General features: G+C 37.3%; 1 long non-coding RNA gene across 3 annotated transcripts in view; it reads left to right on the forward strand.

Annotated features, from left to right (window-relative positions):
• Positions 1-19312, forward strand: part of LINC02503 (long intergenic non-protein coding RNA 2503) — a 75942-nt gene that overhangs the window by 3406 nt on the left and 53224 nt on the right. Inside the window, exons 2-3 of one of the 3 annotated variants that reach the window (NR_186772.1) lie at positions 6020-6071; positions 13392-13508. The exons of 1 other annotated variant lie outside the window; for it this stretch is intronic. This is a non-coding gene — a long non-coding RNA (long intergenic non-protein coding RNA 2503). The remainder of the gene's footprint in view (positions 1-6019; positions 6072-13391; positions 13509-19312) is intronic. One more of the 3 variants, NR_186770.1, reaches the window with a different exon arrangement.

Genomic DNA, 19312 nt, shown 5'->3' on the forward strand with positions numbered 1-19312 from the left:
TTTGAAGAATGAGCTTTGGTTTTGGTTTTCCTCAACTAATTTCTTGTTTTTAGTTTCACTGATTTCTGCTATATTTGTTTTTGTTATTTTTTTTTCTGCTTTGTATTTAAATTGTTCTTTTTTTTTTTTTTAGTTTCTTAAGGTGAAAGCTTAGGCTATTGATTTTAGATCTTTCTTCTATCCTAATATATGCATTCAATGCTATGATTTCCTTCTAAGTACTTCTTTTGATGCATCCCACAGGGTTTGATAAGTTGTATTTTTATATTAAGTTAAAATATTTTTAACAGTTGCTTGAGATTTCCTCTTGATCTCTGTGTTATTTAGAGTCATGTTGCTTAATATCAAATATTTTGGGATTTTCTAGTTATCTTTCTGTAATTCATTTCTAGTTTGATTCTATTATGTTTTGAAAGCATACACTGTTTAATTTTTATTCTTTTAAATGACCCAGATTTTTGTTTATCTTGGTGAATGTTCTATATGAGCTTGAGATGAATGTGCAATCTGCTGTTGTTTGATGAGGTAGCCCATAGATGCCAATTATATCCAATTGATCGGTGGTGATGCTAAAGTCAATGATGTCCTTACTGATTTTCTGTCAGCTAGATTAGTCCATTTTAATATAGGTGTGTTAAAGTCTCCAACTATAATAAGGGGTTCATCTATTTGGCCTTGCAATACTATCAGGTTTTGCCTCATGTATTTTGATGCTCTATTGTTAGGTACATACACGTTAAGGATTGTTATGTCTCCTTGGAGAATTGTCACATTTATCAACATTTAATGTCTTCACCTATTCCTCAAAACTTTCCTCACTCTGAAGCCTGCTCTGTCTGAAATTAGTATAAATACTCCTGCTGTCTTTTGATTAATGTTAGTATCATAGATCTTTCTCTGTATCTTTACTTTTAATGTATGTGTTTTTGTATTTAAAATCGGTTTGTTGTAACAACATACAGTTTTGTCTCTTTTTTAAATAAACTCTGGCACTTTCCTTTAATTAGCTCATTTAGACAATTAATATTTAAAGTGATGTATTAATATAGTTAGATGAATATCCACTATATTTGTTACTGTTTTCTAATTGTTGCTCTTGTTCTTTGTTTCTATTTTTGTCTCTGCACATTTTCTGCTTATTGTGGTCTCAATTGAGCATTTTATATTATTCAATTTTTGCTCATTTTCAAGCATATCAGTTTTTCTTCTCTTTTTAATTTTGCTACTGGTTGTCCCAGAGTTTGCAATATACATTTACAACAAATCCAAGTGCACTGTCACCTAACACTATGCTGCTTAAGGGGTGGCACAAGTACATCATAAAAATAAAGTATTCCTAATTAATTCCTCCAAATTCTTCTATTGTTGCTGTTATTCAGTATACATAAGCATTATATATGTATATATAATCAAATATATTATTGCTATTACTATTTTGAACAAACTGTTATCTGTTAGGTCAATTAAGAATAAGAAATAGAAATTTTTGTTTTACCTTCGTTTACTTCTTCTCTAAGCTGTTGGGTTGTTTATGTAGATCTGAATTTCTGAGCTGTATCATTTTCCTTCTCTCTGAAGAACTTTTTTTTAACATTTCCTGCAAGGCAACAAATTTCAGCAATTTCTGTTTAAGAAAGTCTTAGTTTTGCCTTCACTACTTCTTTTTTTCTTTTGGACAAGGTCTCATTCTGTCACTCAGGCTGGAGTGCAGTGGCATGATAATGGCTCACTGCAGCCTTGACCACCCAGGCTACAGTGATCCTCTCACCTCGGCCTCCTGAGTAGCCAGGACTGCATGTGCACACCACCGTGCCTGGGTGATTTTTTGTAGAGATGGGGTTTCACCATGTTGTCCAGGCTGGTCTCAACCTCCTGGGCTCAAGCAATCTACCTGCCTTGACCTCCCAAAGTGCTAGAATTACAGGCGTGAGCCATCATGCCTGGCCCTCTCTTTCACTTAAAAAAATTTTGTAGGGTACATAATTCTAGGTTGGTTTATTTTTTTCTTTACAAACTTTAAATATTTCACTCTAGTCTCTTCTTTCTGGCATGGTTTCTGTGGAGAAGTTGGATGTAATTCTTATTTCTGCTTCTATGTAGATAATGTGTGGTTTTTTTTTTCCATTTGGCTTTCTTCAACACTTTTTCTTATCTTTGACTTTCTGAAATTTGAATACAATATGCCTAGATTCAGAGTTTGTGTGTGTGTGTGTGTGTGTGTGTGTATGTGTGATTTATACTGCTTGTTTTTCTCTGAACTTCCTGGATATGTGGATTGGTGTCTGAAATTAATTTGGAGAAAATCCTCACTCATTATTACTTCAGATATTTCTATTTCTGTCTTTCTTCCTCTGTTATTATCACTAAACGTGCTACATCCTTTGTAGTTGTCTCATGGTTCTTGACCATTCTGTTACCTTTTTTTTTGTTCTTCTTTCTCTCCCTCTCTGTTTTTTCTTTCATATTTGGAAGTTTCTACTATCATATTGTCAAGCTTTCAGACTCTTTCTTCAGCTGCATCCAGTCTACTCAATGAGCAGATCAAACATATTCTTTATTTCTGTTACAGTGTTTTTGATCTCTAGTATCTGTTTGTAATTATTTCTTAGAATTTTTATCTCTCTGCTTACATTATTCATTGTTCTGACATGTGGTCTAATTTTCCCATTAAAATCATTAACATATTAATAATAGTTTATTTTTATTTTCTGATCTGATAATTCCAACATTCCTGTCACTTTTAACTGGCTCTGATACTTGTTCAGTCTCTTCAAACTCGTTTTTTTTTCTTTTGTTATGCTTTATAATTTTATGTTGCAAGATAGACACGATGTACTGGGTAAAAGGAACTCCAGTAAATAGGCCTTTAATGATTTGAAGGCCAGGTGTAGGGGAGGGGAAACATTATATAGTTGCATAATTTGGCCTCGGTCTTTTGGTATGCATGTACCTCCAGGTTGTGAATATTACCCTGTTTCGCGATCTCAACTCTGATTCCACTCCTGGCCATTAGGTGGGATCAAATGGCCAAAAGGGGCTAGAGTTGGGCATTTTTCTTCCCCCAGGTAAGTTAGTCTCTGATAAAACCTCAATACTTTGGGCCCTGGTAAAATAGTTTCTAATAAGGGTAGACCTTGTTAAGTAGAACAGAATGTTCTGACACATTCCAAAATTTTTTCCCCTTTTTTTTTTGGTGCTGAAGGCATGAGAGGATTTTTCTTTGATATTTATTGTGAGGACCTGGTAGAGCTCCTAGAGGTAAAACTCACAAAGTGTGAGGGCCTCTATATGACTGGGTTTCTGTAGAGTTTTTGACTATCAGAGTTGTCCACAGTAAGAATTCATCAATTACCAGTCACGTTTTTCTCCCTTGAGACTGGCTCCTGCATGGAGCGATGCTCTATGGTTTCTGCTTTGGTAAACTGGAATCCTCTTAACTCAACTTATCAGAAGTATTTACATGTCTGTCTTTTACATTTGGGAAGCAATATTTTGTCCTGTGACCTCATTTCTCTGCCAGATCTAGGAAGAGCTGTTGATTTTTCAGTTTTTTCAGCTTTTTACTTGTTGCTAAGAAAGAATGGTGACTTCCAAGCTCTTTAAATGCTGAACTAGAAACCCAAAGGCTTAATTTGTAAATATATACAACATAGGAAACCTTACACTTTTCCTTCTGAATTCTAATTATATTTTTGTTATATACAATTGTATTTACATGTAAATAATGGTTTTAATTCACTTGTCTCTTTATATGGATCACAATTAAGAAAATCTGTGGTTACTATGGTTTAATTACTATCTATAATGTAAATTTATTATTTTTGAAATATTCTAGAACTTCTGGTGGAATTTTGTAGAGAAATGAAAGACTTTTCAAAAATAATGTGTCAGAAAAGGTGATAATAAACCTCAAAAACTGAAAATAAAAAAGGTGGAGGTGATACTGGGAATGGAGGTGTCGAACATAGAGAAACTATTTGGTCACAGACTAAGAATAGTGCAGAGATTCCAGAGGAAAAAAAAAATAATGAGTGTTGTTCTGAGATGTTTTTATTACTGTAAATAGAAAATATGAAAGAAAATTGATAAGAGAAGAAGAGAGAAAATATTAAGATTACAAAAATAATCAGTGTGACTTTTTCTCCCTTCCTTCCTTCCTTCCTTTCTTTTCTTTCTTTCTTTCTCTTTCTTTCCTTCCTTCCTTCCTTCCTTCCTTCCTTCCTTCCTTTTATTTTTGAGACAGAGTCTCACTCTGTCACCCAGGCTGGAGTGCAATGGTGCGAACTTGGCTCATTGCAACCTCCACCTCTTGAGTTCAAGTGATTATCCTTCCTTAGCCTCCCAGGTAGCTGGGACTACAGGTGCCCACCACCGTGCCCAGCTTTTTTTATTATTATTATTATTAGTAGAGACAGGATTTTGCCATGTTGGCTAGGCTGGTCTTGAACTCCTGACCTCTGGTGATCCACCTCCCTCAGCCACCCAAAGTGCTGGGATTACAGGCGTGAGCCACTGCACCCAGCCAGTGTGGCTTTTTCATTGTGTGAAGAGTTTTAAAATACAAGGACAGACTCTAACTTCAAGATCCAAGATTTGATTAAGTCTTTGGGCAGTATTTAAAAATGCCAAGGTCTCCCATTCTGAATAGGACATCTCCCAGGGTGCCCATAGAACTGCTGGTTTCATCCCATATGTTCATTGATCCATCTAGGCAGGGCGGTATGTTCTTACATCTCTCTAGCTCCGATGCTCTTCATTCTACAGTTAATATGTTTTTTGTTTGTTAGTAATTAAGAAGTGTTTTTGTACATATGTTGCAGGAAGGGCTTCATTTTTATTTTAGTACACATTTATTTCTTCTCTGAACAGGGTTTTGTTGGTGGTGTAAGACTATCCTAAGTGATAGCCTTCTAAGTAACAGTAGGAGTTGACATTCAACTGCTTTTAACTATCCAGGATACTTTTTATACTAGACCTTGGAATCTACAGTCTAAAGTAATATACCCCCAAAAATGTAATTTGATATTTTATACTCTTTATGTACCATATCAGAAAAAGTATGTTGGAGTTTGTTAGTTTGTTATGGGCATCACTTCACTTCATAATAGAATGCCTAGTCTCTCTGAACTCTTGTTGAAAAATCATATTCATGTGTCTTAAAAATTTATATTTTTATGTTCTCTCAAATGTGTTTCTTATATAGCATACTCTAAGAATGAAATTGTCACCACAGATAAATCCTCATTAGCAAGAAATTTGTCTGTTCCAGTATACTCCCACTTTGACCAAGTCATTTGCCTGTCAAATTTAATTTTTCTGCCTTAAGAATGAATGTCCTGTGCAAAATATTGGATGCAGGATAAAGTTATCCAAGTCAGTGACTTCAGCTTCACACACACACACATAAAAATATATACATATGTGTGTGTATATATATAGTTAGTTTTGAAGTTATTTATGTTTATGTAAACTTTAAGATTGGATTGTTTGCTATTGCTCTGTGTGAAACACATATCTTTCAGTAAACTACATTTTTAACTTTTCCAAAAAACATATTCTAAGTTCTAGAGTTGCACACCAAATGTGGATGCATAAGAATTGAGTGAAGATTTTTTTAAAAAAGACAAATAGCAAATGCTAATAGGAAGTAAATGAGTAGTAAGTATTGCAAAAGCCTGTTTACAAGTACCAGGAGGAAAGAAATGAACTTGCTATGATGACTACAGGGAGGAAAATAACTTGGGATAGTATTATAGAAACAAAATGGGGTGAATTATATCCAAACTTATACAATCAACTTGTTAATATTGATGAGTATACTTGTTATGACAGAGACAGATAAAATATAAGACAAAGCGAGGCAGGAGAATAGGGTCTAAAGGCAGGGAACCTAAGGCCAATTCACACTGACTTCTTAGAACTAAATCAAAAGGAAAACCCCAACTTTCCATGCCCAAGTAACAAAAGAACAGAGGTTGCTCCCTTTGCAACTGCCCCCTCCCCCTTTTCTGTGTTGCAGATGAAAAATGAAAGTACCTTTTATTGGTCCCCTCCTGCAACCAGGACTGATGGTAGGCCAAGTCTTCATGTGTAACTTTGTAACTTCAATTCAGCTTCTGATTGGGTTGTGGGAGACAATCAGACTTGTTATGGGCCACTACTTCATTTACATAAGGTGTAAATGAAGTAACCAATGGGAAACCTCTAGAGGGTATTTAACCCTTAGAATTCTGTAACCAGTGCTCTTGAGCCGCTTGCTCAAGCCCACTCCCATTCTGTGAAGTGCACTTTCATTTCAATACATCCGTGCTTTACTTGCTTCATTTGTTCATTGCTTTGTGCACTGTGCCTATTCTTTGTTTAAAATGCCAAGAACCTGGACAACTTGTAGTCAAGACCATGCGCCAGTAACATATTTTGGTGAGCCAGCAAGGAGGTAAGCCCCAAGTTTGGGATTTATTTTTCTTCTCTCTCTCTGTTTTTTTCCTTTTCTTCTTTGCTGTATATAGAGGAGCCCTGTTCTCCCTCTGTCTCTCTCTCTTTTTCCCTTTCCAACTCGGGACCCTTGGCAGATAGCACCTAAGCATGGAGGCAGCTGCAGGTATCTGGCAGAGGCTGCTCTACGGTGAAACTGAAAGATTTCCGTGTGTTAGCACCTGACCACCACTGCCTGGTTTGGGTGAGAGACTTGAGTCCTGGTAATTGAGGATGACTTTCCTGGGCCACTCTCTGGTGTTACCTGAAGGCCAAGGAGTGAATGGGGATGGTTGCCCTGCCCATAAGGGGAAGGACTCTTTTTTGTATTTTCCGGTTGTAGTCCCTGATCTCTACGTGTAATGAAATTAGTAGCAGCAGCTCGTCCAGGGTAAACTTACACATGTTTCAGGTGATTTGCAAAATTTTCCGTAGAGTTAACCTGTAAGGGCAAAATATAATGTCCCTTAGGTGTTTTGACCTCCCTTCTCCTAATCAATCTATTTGACTGACTGAGGACCTTTGGAACCCGTAAACTTTAGAATACTTCTATATTTTGGACCTCCACTAAGGGGACCCCATAGCTTGATGGGCATTGCTTACACATCCACTTGCTTACCTTGAACCCCATAGAAATTCTCAACCACAATCTTCAATTTACCCCTGGGCCCTTCCTTAGAACACCCCACCAATCTTGGTACTGTTAACATTGCAATGTTTGGGAATCCCCTTAGTCCCATGAGGAATACAGGAAGATATGGCCTATCTAAATTGGTGGTATGCTAAAAGTTGGGGATTACACACCCAGGAACAAAAGGAAAGCTCATAGTAGGCCATTGCCTCTGGAGGAAAAGCATACAAAGTGGCACCAGTGCCCACCTAAGGTCAGAGGCATCCGATACTCTAAGATTGGACCCTAAAGGGGGATGCCCTAGGGGATCCAACTCCAGACCTTAACCTCTCTAAATAGGATGTACTAGGCAGAGATTCTGAGGTCCAGTACTAAGCCCTGGACTTTTCTCTTTCTTTCAGATGATAATGGGAAACACTCCATCTATTCCACCCGACTTCCCACTTGGCTACATCCTCAACCATTAGACTCAATTTGACCCTGATAATCCAATTTGACCCTGATATTTCAAGGAGGAAATGCTTGATATTCTTTTGCAATACTGTTTGGCCTCACTATTGTTTGGAATCTGAAGTTTGCTGCTAAATGGGGAAGTGGAATGGAGTTGCATGTATCCAGGCTTTTGTGCTGCTGTTCTAAGCTGGGTTTGACCTGGTTAACATGTGATGCTCTCCTTTGGTATTGTATGGCCCCAGTGTTCTTCAGAATTTAAAAATCAAACTGCCATGGAAACTGCTTTACCTAAAATTTTGGTTCACAGCTTTCATTGGGTTACTTATTGGGGCCAACACAATGTAACCATGTAAAACCAGTGAGATTGTATTGCTACCTCATGGCTAGAGTTCCAAGGTGAAAGCTATTGGATTCTTATTTGTGTGTGTATACATTTCTAGGTGTGTTTATGTGTATGTACATTTATTATGTTATATGCTGTGTCTACCAAATTGATTTATAAATAAAGGAGCACTCATAAATTAAGTAAATAAGTCCCAGCAATTTTCAAGTTCATGTGACATAAGTAAATCTTTATTAAACAAGCTGGCTTTAAAATTATTGGTGAAATAAAAATAGAAATGTCTTTATAATTGTCAGCATACATTTTTGTCTGGGTTTTATATTTGTCTTTGCTAGATGTTTTGAGGTGTCAGTGTTTGGCATAGAAGGTTATAAAGCTATTAACCCAGCCAAAACAAAATGGTCTTGATTTGTGTATCTTCTTTGACAAATGAGACTAATTTAATGTTGTTAGCTGAATCTTCTGAGTTATTGGCAAAAATGCTTATGTATTTAACTTTGAGGCTGTTGTTTGGATGAGTGTATGATGTTCACTGGCTATTAAAAAACAGTTAACAAAGAAATAACTAACTTTAAATGATGGTGTCTAATATCTCAGTTTTCAAAAGTTCTAAGTTTAGAAAGTTAAAGGGTTTAAGTGAGATAGGAAAAACCTAAACATTTGAACACATTGTGGAAGGTTTATGAAAAATTAATTGTAAAAGGGATTTTGTGTGTGAACACATTGGCTAAAGTTAAAGGGGAAGACCGGCAATTAGACTTCACCCATATGCCAGCTTGTAAAGGATACAAGTTTTTGCTAGTATCAATTGACACCTTTACTGGCTGCGTTGAACTTTACCCTACCAGAACACAGAAGGCTAATGAAGTTATATAGGTTCTTTTAAAGGAAATAATCCCCTGGTTTGGGTTACCCCAAAGCCTCCAAAGTGATAATGATCAAACTTTTGTCTCCCAAATAATTCAAGGGGTTGCTAAGGCTTTTGGAATCAAATATTATTTGCACTTAGTATGAAGATCTCAATCCTCTGGGAAAGTAGAAAGTGTTAATCAAACTATAAAAAGGGCACTGGTTGAGCTATGTCAGGAAACATCAGAAACTTGGCTTAGCTTACTGCCCATAGTCCTCTTAAGGATCTGTAATTTCCCTGGAGCAAAAATTAATATAAGCCCATACAAAATGTTATATGGAAGGACATTTTTATCTAATGATCTAATTACTGATCCAGAAACAGCCAGTTTAGTAAAATACCTAGTTGACCTGGGACAATTTCAGCAGGCTATACAAAAGTTTGGAACGCAAAGCCTCCAGAAACCAGGAACTAACTAGCAACCTAAAATCAGGCAAAGGGAAAAGTACACGGAAGGAGGGATCACCTGCTCAACAGTTACAATCCAAATGGAAGGAACCATTTTCATTGGTACCGGCCGTGCCTTCTGCAGTCAAATTACTAGGATTAGATAGTTGGGTACATCTTTCCAGGGTCAAGCCTCTGATACCTGAAGCCCTGGACCTGGAACCTGAAGCTCCCATCAGCCACCACACCTGTGAACCTGACTTGAAGTACCTATTCAAAAAGAGAGCCAAAAGATAAATGCCTGTCAACTTTCCTTGGGGTCTTTGTTACATAGTTACTGTAAGCTAGATAATAGTAGCCATTTTTTATTTTTACAATTTAATTGCCTTCTTCCAAACAGATGGAATCACTTCCTTTGTACTAATTAAGCAAAATGTTTTACTTCATTTTTGTAACAAGCATTCCTGACAGCCTAAGTATCCACCCCTTGAAGTTCCCACTCTATAGAACAAAATAACAAATAAGTAAATTTTTTCGTTCCATAAGGCCACCCACAGACTGTGTATACCGGGACCACGCATACTGGGAATCAGGTTAATTTTACAACAGACTTTCACTTTACCCCTCAGGCAATTAATGGATTCTGAATATTTATTAAGAACTTTAAATTTAATGCAAAGATTGTTAAATACCACCAGCTCAGCTCTGGCAAAGAACTGTTGGCTTTGTTTATCTCCATCATCATCCAAATACATTGCCATCCCAATTCCAACCTGATTTTCGTCCCTTGAAAAAAAAATGACCTACAATGACAGGATGAACAGCAAACCTTCTCCAGTCCTACCAGAGCACCTTTCTGGGGTTGCATCCCCAAAGAAACCCATTTCGGGCCCAATATCAACATTTACAGAGCTAAAATTCCAGGTGCTACTTTGTATTAAGGGAAGCTAAAATTCTGTTTATGTCCTGGGAAGCTTGAAAAGTCATCAATGTATCTCTACACCTTAGAGATGTAAGCTATGCAGTTACCCAAACTGCGTCATTTAGAAAACCTATACATTTTTCATGGAAACCATCCCTAGATAAGGGCACTGTAAGGAAGACACAGTCTAAGTACTGTCAAGGTAGGCCCACTAGCTGTGTTCACATTTTCCCTTGGCCACCTGATATGGTTTGACTCTGTGTCCACACCCAAAACCCATCTTGAATTGTACTCCCATAATTCCCACATATTGTGGGAGGGACCCAGTGGGAGATAATTTGAATCATGGGGGCAGTTACCCCCATACTGTTCTCATGGTAGTGAATAAATTTCATGAGATCTGATGGGTTTATCAGGGGTTTCCACTATTGCATCTTCTCATTTTACCCTTGCCTCTGCCATGTAAGAAGTTCCTTTCACCTCCTGCCATGATTCTGAGGCCACCCCAGCCATGTGGAACTGTAAGTCCATTACACCTCTTTTTCTTCCCAGTCTCAGGTATGTCTTTATCAGCAACATGAAAGTAGACTAATGCAGTAAATTGGTATCAGAAGAGTGGGGTGTTGCTGAAAAGATATCCAAAAATGTGGAAGTGACTTTGGAACTAGGTAAAAGGCAGAGGTTGAAACAGTTTGGAGGACTCAGAACAAGACAGGAAAATGTGGGAAAGTTTGGAACCTCCTAGAGATTTGCTGAAGGGCTTTGAAAAAATGCTGGCAGTGATATGAACAGTAAGGTCCAGGCTGAGGTCATCCCAGATGGAGATGAGGAACTTGTTGGGAACTGGAGCAAAGGTGACTCTTGTTACGTTTTAGCAAAGAGACTGGCAGGATTTTGCCCCTGCCCTAGAGATTTGTGGAACTTTGAAGTTGAGAGAGATGAATTAGGGTGACTGGCAGAAGAAATTTCTAAGCAGCAAAGTGTTCAATAAGTGACTTGAATGCTGTTAAAAGCATTCCATTTTAAAAGGGAAACAGAGCATAAAAGTTCAGAAAATTTGCAGCCTGATGGTGCAGAAGAAAAGAAAAACTCATTTTTTTGAGGAGAAATTCAGGGTGGCTGCAGAAATTTGCATAAGTAACAAGGAGCTGAATGTTAATCCCCAAGACAATGGAGAAAATGTCTCCAGGGCATGTCATAGGTCTTCCAGGCAGCCCCTCTCATCACAGACCCAGAAGCCTAGGAGGAAAAAGTGGTTTCCTGGGCCAGGCCCAGAGTCCCCATGCTATGTGCAGCCTAGGAACTTGGTGCCCAGTGTCCCAGCTGCTCCAGCCATTGCTAAAAGGCACCAAGATACAGCTTTGGCCTATGGTTTCAGACGGTGCAAGCCCCAAACCTTGGCAGCTTCCACTTGATGTTGAGCCTGCAGGTACAGGGAAGTCAAGAATTGAAGTTTGGGAACCTCTACCTAGATTTTTAGAAGACGTGTGGAAACACCTGGATGCCCAGGCAAAAGTTTGCTGCAGGGGCGAGGCTCTCATGGAGAACCTCCGCTAGGGCAATGCAGAAGGGAAATGTGGGGTTGGAACCCCCACACAGAGTCCCTACTGGGGCATCACCTAGTGTAGGTGTGAGAAGAGGTCCACCGTCCTCCAGACCCCAGAATGATAGATGCACCAATAGCTTGCACTGTGCACCTGGAAAAGCTGCAGACACTCAATGTAAGCCTGTGAAAGCAGCCAGGAGGGGGTTATACCCTGCAAAGCCACAGGAGTGGAACTGCCCAAGACCATGGGAACCTACCTCTTGCATCAGTGTGACCTGGACGTGAGACACGGAGTCAAAGGAGATCATTTGACTCCCCTGCTGCATTTCAGACTTGCATGGGCCCTCTAACCCCTTTGTTTTGGCCAATTTCTCCCATTTGGAATAGCTGTATTACCCAATACCTGTACCTCCATTGTATCTAGGAAATAACTAGCTTGATTTTGATCTTACAGGCTCATAGGTGGAAGGGACTTGTCTTGTCTCAGATGATACTTTTGACTGTGGGCTTTTGGGTTAATGCTGAAATGAATTAAGACTTTGGGGGATTGTTGGGAAAGCATGATTGGTTTTGAAATGTGAGGACATGAGATTTGGAGGGGCCAGGGGTGGAAGGGTGGAATGATATGATTTGGCTCAGTATACCCATCCAAATTCCATCTTGAACTCCCATAATTCCCACATATTGTGGGAGGGACCTGGTGGGAGATAATTTGAATCATGGAGGTGGTTTCCCCCATATTCTTCTCGAGGTACTGAATAAGTCTCACAAGATCAGATGGTTTTATCAGGGGTTTCCACTTTTGCATCTTCCTCATTTTCTTTTGTCTCTGCCATGTAAGAAGTGCCTTTCACCTCCTGCCATGATTCTGAGGCCTCCCCAACCATGTGGAGTATGTGGAATTTTAAGTCCAATTAAACCTCTTTTTCTTCCCAGTCTCGGTTATGTTTTTATCAACAGCATGAAAATGGACTAATACACCACCTTAGCAGGGAACTTAACCACTCAGAAAAGTGCAAACAACATTCTAACCCACATGTTCACCATAGAGAAATTTTTTGGCTTGAAAAATAAGTAACATTTTTTCTCTGTGTAACTAGTTCCTGTGTAGTTTTGCAGTCAATTGGACTGGAACCTGTACATGTGTTTATTTAGCCCCCGAAATCAATATAGCTGCCAATAACCAATCTCTCATTATACCTTTAACTTCAACCACCAGACACAAATGAGCCATCCAACTCATACCGCTTTTGGTAGGGCTAGGAATAACAGCAGGAGTAGGAATGGGAGTTAGTGGACTTGCAACTTCCCTATCCTATTATCAGTGCATGTCCAAGGATTTTTATGGAAAGCTAGGATGACATTGTCCAAAGTATTGTTACTTAAAAAAATCAAAGAGACTCCTTGGCAGCCGTCACTTTGACAAATAGAAGGGGACTGGATCTCCTAACTGCTGAAAAAGTTGGCTTATGTCTTTTTCTAGAGGAATAATGCTGTTTTTGTGTCAACTAATCAGGATGAGCAAGAGATGCCACCCAAAAAGTAGCCGATTGGGTCTCTAAGATATGACAACAGCTGTCCAAGTCATGGGGCTCATGGTCAAAAATGCTAACTTGGGGTTCGTGGCTCCTTCCGTTGGCCAGCCCATCATTAATTATTACACTTGCCTTGGTTTTGGACCATGTTTGTTAACTCTTTTAACCAAATTCATTTCCTCTCATCTAGAGACAATCAAACTTCAGATAATCATGCAACAAGGTTTCCAGCCAGTTCCAGGTGTAGACACCACTCCCAGCCATCAAGAAACTACTGTCAAGGCAAGGGTTCTGTGATCCTCAATAGGTATGGACCGTGCCACAAGTCAGCATAAAGTAGTTACAGAAGAAAGACTGTTGGTCCCTCTGCCTCCCATAAAGATTTATGGGAATCACATCTCTCTGGGGGAAATGAGGCAGGAGAATAGGTTGTGGAGGCAGGGAACCTAAGGCCAATTCACACTGACTTCCTAGAACTAAATAAAAAAAAAAAACCCAATTTTCCATGCCCAAGTAACAAAAGAACAGAAGCTGCTCCCTTTGCAACTAACCCCGCTGACCCCCCATTTCTGCATTGCAGATAAAAAAAGAAAGTACCTCTAATTGGTCCCCTCCCACAACCAATCAGACTGGTGGCAGGCCAAGTCTTCATGTATAACTTTGTAATTTCAATTCAGCCTTTGATTTATTGCCTCCCACAGCCAATCAGACTGGTTGCAAGCTACTACTTCATTTACATATGGTATAAGCCACATAACTAATGGGAAACCTCCAGTGGGTATTTAAACCCCAGAAAATTCTGTAACCAGTGCTCTTGAGCCATTTGCTCAAGCCCGCTTCCACTTTGTGGAGTGCACTTTTGTTTCAATCCATCTGTGCTGTCCTTGCTTCATTCTTTAATGCTTTATTTGTGCATTTTGTCCAGTTTTTTATTCAAAACACCAAAAACCTGGACAACTCGTAGCCAAAACCCTCCACGGTAACAAAGGTACCATTATGTATCAAAAACGTTAGTACAAATCAGAAATCTACATAGCCCAAACTATCAATAATCACATTTCTAAGTGAACAGTTAATATAGATTTTATAGCTATATATGCTCTAGTCATGACAGTTACATTTATTCATTTCAGATGATAGATTTGCAGCTCAGTATTCAAAGAGTTTATCAGCACTATTTTTTTATTTATTTACCATCTTAGGGCATAAAATATAAAATAGATAAGGGTGAAATAACAGGCACTTGTTGAAAAGTGACAATTGTTCTATTTCCAGAGTTTAAGAAAACACGTAAACATTAAAAAATATGTCTGAAAAATATGCAAAATATATTACTATAGAGTAAATACAGGTTGGAAAATTAGCTTCATATTCTTAATACTCACTAAAAATATTGTCCTTTTGTTTTGACTCAGAGAAATTTAATTATTGAATATTTCCTGAGGAAGGGGTGTTTATTCTCTGAATATGTTTCACTGAATATGTTTCACTGAAATATACTAAAACTGCTTTACTTTTCTAAACAGGTGTGTATTAATAAATGTGTCTGTGGGTGCATACTACTTTTTATATGTAGCCCATGATTCACTTTTATGTAAATCTTAGAGAGCTAAGAAATCTACAGAGCTTTTTCTGAGACTAGATTTGCGTAAATATTCCCCTTGCCAATGATTATAGTGCTCAAACTATCTGGATTTTATGGATTAGTTCAAATAAATTGTGATCCTATTTTAGTAAAAAAAGTTTAAAGTGTATGACTAGGTGAGGTTTAAACATGTACACTTACACACACAAATTTTTTATGTATTTACTTGATGGGATCATAGATCATTACAACCTTGTATAGAGAGTTAATTGGTTTATAAAGTCTCAGATCTCAGATCCCTAGAAATACAAGTAGTCTGTCAAGGAGACTTAAAATGATCATCCACAAAAAAAATGACGGGTTATTTTTTCAACATGACAGTTGTTACACACCAACACAATGTAGATGACTATATTCTTGGCCACTTTGTAAATTATACCAAGATGAATTGTTTGTTAGTTGTATAATCATTCATTAAACTAACAGCTTTTAAATCCTACCTATGAGATAAGCCCTCTTTTAGGTGATGTTATTACAAAGGTAAAGACATAGTTCTCACTGTAGGATGTTCTCCACCTCCTAGAGATGTATGTATAAATACACTTGCAATTCTTTTTGGTGAGTGCTATAATAGAGGGATCTGAAGGATACAATACTGCACAAGGTAGAATGTGCTTAATTTTGCTTGAGGGGTGAGAGAATGTGAAAATCTGTCACAGAAAAGGGATGCTTCATCTAAATATGTAAAGAAAACATTGAACACTTATTAGAGACTAAAAGGATGGAGATGTTGGGGAGGACTTTCATGACAAAATGAGCAACATTTCCATGTATATGGAGTTCCATTGTGGCATGAAAGATATGAGAAACCCAAATATACTTTGGATTACTTTTATGTGATTTGCCAAATTTGGAGAAAGAGTGTAAGATTTGAGATACATATGGGGACTAGATTACCAAGAATCTTATATACTTAGTTTAAAGAGTTTAGGTGATATCCATTAGATGTTGGATGTGAACACAATGTTTTAGTTATGTAAATGTTAGGAGATTCAAGGGTTTTACCACAAGCACGATGCCATACCTACACTTTAGAAAAGTTATTCCAGCCACAATTTGCAAGATTTAATAGAAGGGATGAAATGTAGGCAAGAAGATAAGTTAGGATACCATTATAATAAGTCAAGTAATCTGAACAGGGCACTAATAGTGGAAGTCAATATGAGAGTCAAGTCTAGACATATTTAGGTGGTAGCACCTATAGATCTTGGTGTTCAGTTCAAGCCCTGGCTTCTTGATTATTTTTACCCTCTCATTTTTCTCAGTTTAACTTTTAGACTGAGAAGGTGGTGGGACACTAACTAGTAGGGAGAAGCAGAGAAAAAGGCATTTGAAGGGCATATGGATATTTTAAGATTGAATTTATATTTCAATGTCACAACATATTTCACTGTCCAATTTGCAGGTTAACATACTGTTTAGTATTTGAGGTGAATACAATGTGGACAAAAAATCAGAAGAAATTGGCATGTTTTACACATTGTTCCAGAAGCAGGAGGACCATAGAAATTCTGAGTTGTATTTTCAATTTTTTAATATCTCTCTCACTATACCTTTTTTCTATTACTTCCACATACAATCATTTAACTTAGTCCTTTTGATTTCACCTTCCAAACATTTCTCAAATTTACCCTCCCATGTCTACTATAATGTTAACACCCTTGTTCAGATTCTTAAAATAGCTAGGTTTAACTTTTATAATTATCTGATTATAGTAGTTTATCCTCATTAAGATTTTCTGCTCCAATCTATTGTTCATAATAACTTGACCACGTGATTTGTTTAAAATGAAAATAACAATAGTAGTCACAGCTTAAAAATCTTCTGTGTTACACAATACCCTTCAAAGGTCTAGAACCAACAAAAATACCAGCTGCATTTTAAGTCTCAGCCTTATACTTTACACTGGTTGTACAAATGCTTGGCCTTCTCTTATACCTTTCTGCTTCACATTTTCATGCCTTTGTATCTGCTTTTTATTCTGTTTTAAAAACATTTCACACCCTGACTGACAAATTCTGCCCATCCTTAAAGAATTGGCTTAGACAATATCTCCCACAAAAAGTACTTCCTCATGTTTCCACTATCCAAAGGCTATGTACCACGGCTTATAAAAACACCTTGTACATACTTCTGTCATGCTGCTCAATTACCTCCCTCCCTCACCAGAGTTTACTTCTTATTCCATGGGGTTACGTATTATATATATTTTATCACCCTAGGACCAATAAATGTTTGCTGACTGATTTTTTATAGGCAGTAATATTTATGAGACAGGCTGGTCAGTGCAGAACTAGAGAATCTGACAAACGAGACCGAAAATTATAAGTCAGAAATGTACGAGACTGCTACCAAAAACATGATAAAGTGAAGATGAAAATAATTGTCCTATATACCTCATAAAATGTAGAATTAGAAAATAGATGCATTTCGTGAGTGCATAAAATACACATAATATTTCATACTGAATAGCATTAACTGTTAACTCTCCTGGGCATGGAAGTTGTCTGACTTCCTATCTCGATCCTGAAGCTTTCTTCAGCTGACATTATACTTAGCCAGAGAGAAAACTAATGGTAAGGCCAGGCCATAAGAAGCTCAAATTCTCCTGGAGGAATCTACACCATTTTTCAGCCCCTTTGGCACTGCCCAAGGCACTAGCTTCATGGGCTTTAGCACCAGTGGAATGACATAATTTTAACTGGGTTAAAATACACATCCAAATTCACATAATTTGTATTTTGTTTGTTTATATATCCATAAGGGCATATTTAGTTAATAATAACCATGTCAGCATTTTATACTACTCTATTGAGCAGCAAAGCCACAAAGGCCATGATAATTGGGCTAATAACACAGTAAGTCAAAGGGAAAAATGAAAATAAAGTATCTTAAAATAGAAAAGGGCAAATCACAAGTTAAGTTTTATATTTTATCAAATTAAAATTCTAGTTTATACTAGAAATATTGTTTTTTAATCTAGATTCTCAATTTTCTCAAAAAATAGTTTTAAAGTTTTGTTAGTAAAGTTACAAAAAAGGTCAGTTGATTAAAATTTTTAACAATTTTTATAATTTTAGTCCTAATATTATATTATCCAAAAGTATAGTTATTAATTATCTTGCAAAATACTATTGGTGTCATGAGATTATATCTTGACAAGGATAATTAGCCCTATCACTGAAAGTTCACTGCATTGAAACATAAATGAAAATATAGGCAAAATGAGTTAGCATTATGTTTCTGAGTGTAATTGTACATAATCTTTCACTAGCTGTCGTATCTCTGATAATTTACATGGAGAAAAATGGTCAAACATTTAAAAATGTTTATTGTTGTTGATTATATTTATTTTTATAATGATAAAATATAGAAACAATTGAAATGCTCATTAGGAATGATCATTTTGGTTAATTCACATAATGAAATACTACTGGTCACTAAAGCAGATAAATCAAACCTATATCTATTGTGCTAAAATATGTCTATAACTCATATTGTTAGATGTGTTGATGTTCTCCCCAAATCCCCTTTATCTATGGTGCACCTTCCCCACTATGGTCACTTGAAAACATGATCGTGGTACTTGCAAGCTAATCCAGAATTTCCTCTCATCTCCTGACCTATTTCAACTTTCCAATGACATGGAGCCTAAAGTAGCAAATAATAAAGACTGATATATTTGGATCTTCAGGTTTACATGTATCTCTAGATCTCCAGGTGGAATAAGAATAATTCTGAGCCCTGTATCTTCCTATTTTTTTTTGGTAGTCATTCTATATAAGATTGTACAAAGTTTCACATTATAGTATCTGATGAGGGTGGTGAAATCCAAATTATCTAGTCATTTATTTGCATGAGGTAATTCATTATAGGACTAGAATTTGCTGAGGAGAAACCTGCATTTAGTACCTGGAATTCATGAGAATGAAAACCAAAACCAAAAACAAACATGTGCAACCATGGCATTTATCCCCAGTTCAATTGTAATTACTAGCACTAAGCTTTGCAGACAAAAGAGTGATGACAGTTTAAATGATTGGAGATGGAGAGGGAAGAGGGGAAGGAACATAGCCCAGACTTTGAGTGATGAGTTTTGCTTCAGAGTGTAGGTGATGGTGTGGTACAAAGTAAAGAAGAAATAATTCTCCCGATTTCTGTAAACTGATGAATGCCATTTCATTTGGTCATTTGGTATCTCACACACCTGCAACTTTGGGGAACATCAGAAAACAAAACCTAAGCAGAGAATTCACACTCTCATTTCTGACATTGGGAAGTGCATGAGATGAGTGATGGTGAAATCACATGGAGATCACTAAATTTCCCAAAATCTTTTAAGGGAGATCTAGAGGTCTGCCGGAACACAAAAGAAAGAATGAATCAGAGGGATCCAATATGTTCCAGTTAATGAGACTTCTACTTGCACCATAGATACAAGGCCTGGGGAAAGTCAGTTAAAGGTT

The sequence above is a fragment of the Homo sapiens genome, chromosome 4, assembly GCF_000001405.40.
Source record: "Homo sapiens chromosome 4, GRCh38.p14 Primary Assembly".
NCBI classification, from domain to species: domain Eukaryota; kingdom Metazoa; phylum Chordata; class Mammalia; order Primates; family Hominidae; genus Homo; species Homo sapiens.